At 54.6% G+C, this 6,474-nt stretch overlaps 3 annotated features.

Annotated features, from left to right (window-relative positions):
• Positions 2,587-3,100: an enhancer, noted in NCBI's record as "H3K27ac-H3K4me1 hESC enhancer chr16:4993899-4994412 (GRCh37/hg19 assembly coordinates)". NCBI's record gives its function as "activates a minimal SCP1, AML or CMV promoter by ChIP-STARR-seq in primed H9 embryonic stem cells {active_cell/tissue: H9 hESC(primed)}" and the evidence as "EXISTENCE:reporter gene assay evidence [ECO:0000049][PMID:30033119]".
• Positions 3,101-3,614: an enhancer, noted in NCBI's record as "H3K27ac-H3K4me1 hESC enhancer chr16:4993385-4993898 (GRCh37/hg19 assembly coordinates)". NCBI's record gives its function as "activates a minimal SCP1, AML or CMV promoter by ChIP-STARR-seq in naive and primed H9 embryonic stem cells {active_cell/tissue: H9 hESC(naive and primed)}" and the evidence as "EXISTENCE:reporter gene assay evidence [ECO:0000049][PMID:30033119]".
• Positions 3,615-4,128: an enhancer, noted in NCBI's record as "H3K27ac-H3K4me1 hESC enhancer chr16:4992871-4993384 (GRCh37/hg19 assembly coordinates)". NCBI's record gives its function as "activates a minimal SCP1, AML or CMV promoter by ChIP-STARR-seq in naive and primed H9 embryonic stem cells {active_cell/tissue: H9 hESC(naive and primed)}" and the evidence as "EXISTENCE:reporter gene assay evidence [ECO:0000049][PMID:30033119]".

The following is a 6,474-nucleotide window of genomic DNA, read 5'->3' as shown; positions in this document are numbered from 1 at the left end:
GGATGGAGGGATGGATGGATGGATGGAGGGATGGATGGATGGATGAACAAACCAATGAACCTCTTCTCTTCCATCATAGTTTTAACTTAGGACCTACTAACCCTTTCCTGGTCCTCCCCTAAGGGGACCTTCTCCGGGATCACAACAGTACACTGGTCCTCCCACTCATTCATTTATTCATTCAACAATGACACTGAACACCCACTCTGTTGCCCAGGCTGGAGTGCAGCAGTACAATCTCGGCTCACTGCAACCTCCACCTCCTGGGTTCAAGTGATTCTCCTGCCTCAGCCTCCTGAGTAGCTGGGATTACAGGCACCCGCCACCACGCCTGGCTAATTTTTATATTTTTAGTAGAGACAGGGTTTCGCCATGTTGGCCAAGCTGGTCTCAAACTCCTGACCTCAGGTGATCCAACCTTTTCAGCCTCCCAAAGTGCTGGGATGACAGGCGTGAGCCACCGCGTCCAGCCTAAAATTTTTTAAAATGTGCCCTTTCTTGCATGTTCATCACATCTCAATCAAGCTGGAAGAAAAAGTGCCAGCCTCCAAGCCTGGTACTCAGCACGTGGCCTGGTTTATAGTAAATGCCCAACAAAAGTTACTATTTGCCATGATTCCATGTCTTCCTTTATTGAGACTTTTCAAGACCCTACAGAGCAGGTGTCAGAGTGTCCCCATTTTGCAGATGGGGAAACTGAGGTTAAGAGAGGTGAAGACATTTGCCCAGGGTCACACAGTTAGGAAATAGATCAGTTGAGATTTGACACCTCAGCTCACTGGCTCTTCCCCATGGTACAGAGAAGTTAAGCCACCAGCCCACAGTCCCGCAGCTGGGTGCATGGCAGAGCCAGGGTTCAAACCCAGGTTGGCTTCAAACTAAACCCTAATTTGGCTTTGTGTTCGGCCCCTTGTGGCCTAGTCTGTCCATCACTGAGTCATCCTGGCTTGGGAGGAAACGGGGCCCTGACCTCCTGACCTGGGCTGTCCTCCATCACACCTGGCACCGGCCCCAAAAATGCAGCCCCACCAGTCTGGGCAGTGTGAGGTGAGGTGGGGCAGGGAGGAAGCAGGCTTGGGCGTTGGACAGAAGATGGGAGTTTTGGGGCTGGGTTGGGCAGCCTGTCCTGCCGGGATCCTGAGCCAGCAGAGCCTGTCCGGCCCCACCCAGCCCCTCTTTCTGCCCTGACAGTGTGACTTCCTCACTTGATGTACCCACCCCTGAGAGGCCTAGGGCCAGGCTTGACAAGTGGGATCCAAGATGTGTAGCAGGTTGTGTCAGAAAGTGCCCCGGGGGCTGGGCGCAGTGACTCACTCCTATAATCCCAGCACTTTGGGTGGCAGAGGCAGGAGGATCATTTGAGCCCAGGAGTTTGAGACCAGCCTGGACAACATAGCGAGACCCCAACTCTACAAAAAAGTTTTTTAAATTAGCCAGGCGTGGTGGCGCCCCTGTGGTCCTAGCAACTCAGGAGGCTGAGATGGGAGGATTGCTTGAGCCCAGGAGTCTGAGGCTACAGTGACTTGTGATCATGCCACTGCACTTCAGCCTTGGTGACAGAGCAAGACCCTGTCTCAAAGAGAAGAAGAAAAAGGAATGTGGCCCAGGGTTCAAGATGAAGTGTCTGAAATCCCAAAAACCTGGATCTGCAAGATGGGCTGATGGGCTTTTCATAGTCACGGTGGACCCCAGCCATGGGTGGGGCAGAGTCGAAGAACCCTTTGCTGAGCCCACGGCTAACCCCTCAGTGGCTGGGGAGGGGAAAAACCAGGGTGGCCAGGGGCTCAGAGCAACCGCTATTTAACTACCGGTTGGGAGCTATTTCAATATTTTGATAACACACAGGGCTGTACAGGTGCATTCAGGAGAGAGCCAGGAGGCGGTCATCGGAGCAGCGGCTCCCTGGGCCGGCAGGAGGGCGGGGCTGCCTGGCAGGCAGGGAGAAGTGGCATTCTGCCAGGGGGCCCGGGCGGGTAGGGGCCTGAGGCACATTCTCAGGGGATGACTCAGGGGCAGGCAGAGCATGACTCACCGTAGACCCTCTCCTGCTCCAGCTGCCAGGGCCTGGCCTCCCCTCTGGCCCCAGGAGAACTGTGGGGAGCTCACAGGGCCCCCAGCCCAGAGCTGAGCGTGAGTCAGCCCATGTGGGCTGGAGGGCCAGCACAATTTTCCACTCCTTGAATTGTCCTGTAAGAAAAGTAAACACATGTTACAAAACAGGGGTGAAGCTGGGCCAGCCCCCTCCTGTCCCCTCGGAGCAGGGACAGGAGCAGGGCCTTCATGCCAGGGGCTGTGCACACATCCCTGCCCACCGGCTCTTCCCAATTTTACAGATGGGGAAACTGAGGTCTAGAGAGGTTAAGAGAGCCACCTGCCCAAGGTCACACGGCTAAGGTGTGAGGTGGAGCCAAGTTTCAAACCCAGGTTTCAGGCTGAAACCTGTAAGTGTATCCCGGCTGTGGGCAGACCAGGGCTGGAGTTACTGCAACATCTGTTTCTGTTCACAGCCGTGTTTCTCAGGGTGGCCCCAAACTCACCTGCCTCAGCATCCCACGGAGTAGGTGTTTGTTAAAATGCAGATTCCTGGCTGGGTGCGGTGGCTCACGCCTATAATCCCAGCACTTTGGGAGGCTGAGGCTGGTGGATCATTTGAGGTCAGGAGTTTGATACCAGCCTGGCCAACAGGGTGAAACCCCATCTCTACTAAAAATACAAAAATTAGCCAGGTGTGGTGGTGCATGCCTGTAATCCCAGCTACTCAGGAGGCTGAGGCAGGGGAACTGCTTGAGCTTGGGAGGCGGATGTTGCAGTGAGCCGAGATTGTACCACTGCACTCCAGTTTAGGCAAGAGAGTCAGACCCTGTCTCAAAAAAAATGCAGATTCCTTGGTGGCTCATGCCTGTAATCCCAGCACTTTGGGAGGCTGAGGCAAGAGATTGACTTGAGCCCAGGCATTCAAGACCAGCCTGGGTAACACAGCGAGACCTCATCTCTATAATTAATAAATAAATAAATGCAGATTTCTCGGCCCTGCCAAGACTCACCCAACCGTAATCTCTTCCAGGGAGGGACCCTGGAATCTGCATTTGTAAATGCACCCCAAGTTGGGGTGCATACAGCCACAGATGGGAGAATGGCTGTCTCGGAGAGGGCTCGGGATATATCCCACATGTCCCTCTGTCCCGGGCTGGGCGAATGCTGCCCCTCTTGTTTCAAACTGGTTCACAGGCGAATACCCCAAACACCTCTCCAGCTGCTAGGGCAACAGTGATGGCAAACAAGGAGGGCGGGCGTGAGGAACCCTTCCGAAGTTGGTGGCCTCCCATGAGCTGGCTGCCTGGTCTGGCTGCAGGAACACAGGTTTCAGGGTCGCTGAGGGTGGCCTGGTTGCCAGGGAACAAATGGCCCTGAAGGTGCGAGCAAACTCGAGGAAAGCAAGCACCCTCCCCCACCCCGGCAGGCTGGCCCTCCACCCACGGCAACAGAGGGGATGAGTCACTTGGCAGGAGAGGGCTTCGCGGATCCAAACAAATCCCATCTGCCCAGAGGAGGATGCATGGGGTGAGAACGGATCTCCCACCCCATCCGGCCTGCCCACAAACGTGTGGTGTGTGCACGTGTGTACACATGTGCGCACACACACAGCCATGGGAGCTCCTAGCCCAGCTCCTAGAGAATGGAGAGGGGAGGGATGGTGAAGCGCCACTCAAATTCCTCCCTAAATCTGCTAATTCTACCCGCCACTCCTGGGCCAGGCTCAGCTGAGTCAGCGGGAGACCAGCCCAGCTGCCCCAAGCCCGAGCCCAGGAATTAGAACTCTGAAGAGTGGAGGGAGGCAGAGGTTCAAGAGCTCAGTCCAGGAGCAGGCTGACCCAGGTACCAGCCCAAATGGGCCCTGTGCTTCTCAGGGCCCATTTCCTTCCCTGAAAAGTAAGACAAGAGAGGCCAGGCACCGTGGCCCATGCCTGTATTCCCAGCAGTTTGGAAGGCCAAGGTGGGAGGATCACTTGAGCCCAGGAGTTCTCAACCAGCCTGGGCAACAGCAAGACCCCGTATTTACAAAAAATTTAAAAATTACCCAGGCTTCCTGGTGTGCATCTGTAGTCCCAGCTACTCAAGAGGTCGAGGTGGGAGAATCGCTTGAGTCCAGGAGGTCGAGGCTGCAGTGAACTATGATCACACCACTGCACTGCAGCCTGGGCGACAGAACGAGACCCTGTGTCTTAAAATTAATTAAAGAAAATAAGACAAGGAAGTGGCTACCTCCCAGGCAGGGAGCACTGCCCTGCTTCACCCAGTGGGGGTGGTTGGGCACGTGCCATGGTGCCTGGCACAGAGTCAGCCCTCAATAAACAAGAGGTGACATTACTATTATCAATGCCGTCACTGTTATTCAGCAGCTGAGCTAGAATTCACTGCTGACCTAGAGGTCCCTGATCTGGTTCCCTCCCGCAAACCAACTCTTAACCTTCCTAGGAGTTGTAGGGAAAGGGGATTTGGCAGGTTGGAGAAGCCGAGAGTTTTGACACTGTTTGGAGCTCCTGTAGTCACTTGTGCCCGTCAGTCCCGCAAACACACAGTCTCTAGCTACAGAGAGAATTCCCTCCCCTTCGTTAGGGGCTACCTAACTGCCAGGGGACATACTGAATGCTTAACACACAGCCTTTCACCCTGTGAAGTTGATGCTAGGTTTGCGCCCACTTCCCAGATGAGGAAAACTGAGGCTCAGAGAGGCAAAATGATTTGCCCGTATTCACACAACTGAAAGGGACTGAGCGGGGATTCAAACCGAGATCTGGGCCGGGCGTGGTGGCTCACGCCTGTAATCCCAGCACTTTGGGAAGCCAAGGCGGGCAGATTGCTTGAGGTCAGGAGTTAGAGAGCAGCCTGACCAACATGGCGAAACCACGTCTCTATAAAAAATACAAAAATTAGCCGGGTGTGGTTTCATGCACCTGCGGTCCCAGCTACTTGGGAGGCAGAGGCAGGAGAATCACTTGACTCCAGGAGGTAGAGGTTGCAGTGAGGCGAGTTCGCGCCACTGCACTCTAGCCTGGGTGACAGAGCAAGACTCCATCCATCTCAAAAAAAAAAAAAAAAAAAATGGCCAGGCGCAGTGGCTCACGCCTGTAATCCCCACACTTTGGGAGGCCAAGGCGGTGGATCACTTGAGGTCAGGAGTTCAAAACCAGCCTGACCAACATGGTGAAACCCCATCTCTACTAAAAATACAAAATTAGCTGGGCGTGGTGGCACACACCTGTAATCCCAGCTACTTGGGGGGCTGAGGTAGGAGAATGGCTGGGAGGCGAAGGTTGCAGTGAGCCAAGATCGCGCCACTGCACTCCAGCCTGAGCAACGAGAGTGAAACTCCATCTCAAAAAGAAAAGAAATTCAAACTTCTTTCTTGTCCTTTTTGGGGAGATTCAGCAACGGTTTCTCATGTATCCTTCCAGAAGTTTTTTGTGCATAGACAAGCATGTTACACACCACACACTCTGTCTTTCCCTCTTTCTTTTGCACTTTGCATCTGGCACTCCACTCCATGTTAGTCTACATATGGTCTCCACATCTGCCCCTTTTCCAGCTGCAGGGTCTTCCTGGTGTAGGCAGCCCTGGTTACCGGACCATCCCCCTCCAAATAGGCAGCAGTTTCTTTACAGAGCTTCTCCATTAGCAACTGTGTTGCCAAAAGCATCCCAGGATGCACACTTAGTACAAGGTCAGCAACACTGCTGCAGTGACCATCCTCAAGGCATGCTGAGCCCGGAGTAAGAGCCCACCTGTGGGGAAAGGTATGGGGAACGAGAAAGGAGAGGGTGTCCAGGCATAGGCAGACCAGGGGGCGACAGCAAGGACGCACAAGTTCCCTGGGAACCCCTCTTGGGGTATGGGGAAGGGGTCTGTGTGCTGAGCCAGCTCCATGTTGAGTTCAGGCTTCTGCGGGTGCAAGGTGACTCCCCGCACACCTGTGTTCTGAAACCCCAGCTCCTCTCTAACACCTGCTCCCAATATCAGCTGGCTGGAGGAAGCATCCCTTCGGGGCCCTGAGATCTAGGCAAGGAAGTCACTTTTGGACGAGGGAGGGCATTGTCATGCCCTTACCTGCCAATGAGAAATGCCCACCTGGGGGCGGCACCCGAAACTGAGCCAGGCAGAGCCGAGTTGGGGAAGGACTGGGTTTGCTGGGGAGGTCTGTTCAGGGCTGTCTGCCTGAGCAGCTGGGAGGCTGCACACACTGAGGCCTCAGACCACCCAGGGAAGCTTGTCCAGATTTCAGATTCTTAGGCCCCTCCCTCTTCAGACCCCCCCAATCAGGATGTCAAGGGTCCCAGGGCCCCAGAATATGCCTTTTACAAACTCCTGTAGAGATTCTAAGGTGCAACAATGTTAGAACCACCGCCTCTCCCAGGGTCTTTCTCCCCCATATGTCCCCAGACCCCTTCAAGGAGTTCACAATTTGGCCGGCGCAGG

This window comes from Homo sapiens, chromosome 16 (genome assembly GCF_000001405.40).
Source record: "Homo sapiens chromosome 16, GRCh38.p14 Primary Assembly".
In the NCBI taxonomy this organism is placed as follows: Eukaryota; Metazoa; Chordata; class Mammalia; order Primates; family Hominidae; genus Homo; species Homo sapiens.
This window is presented reverse-complemented; position numbering and strand designations above follow the sequence as displayed.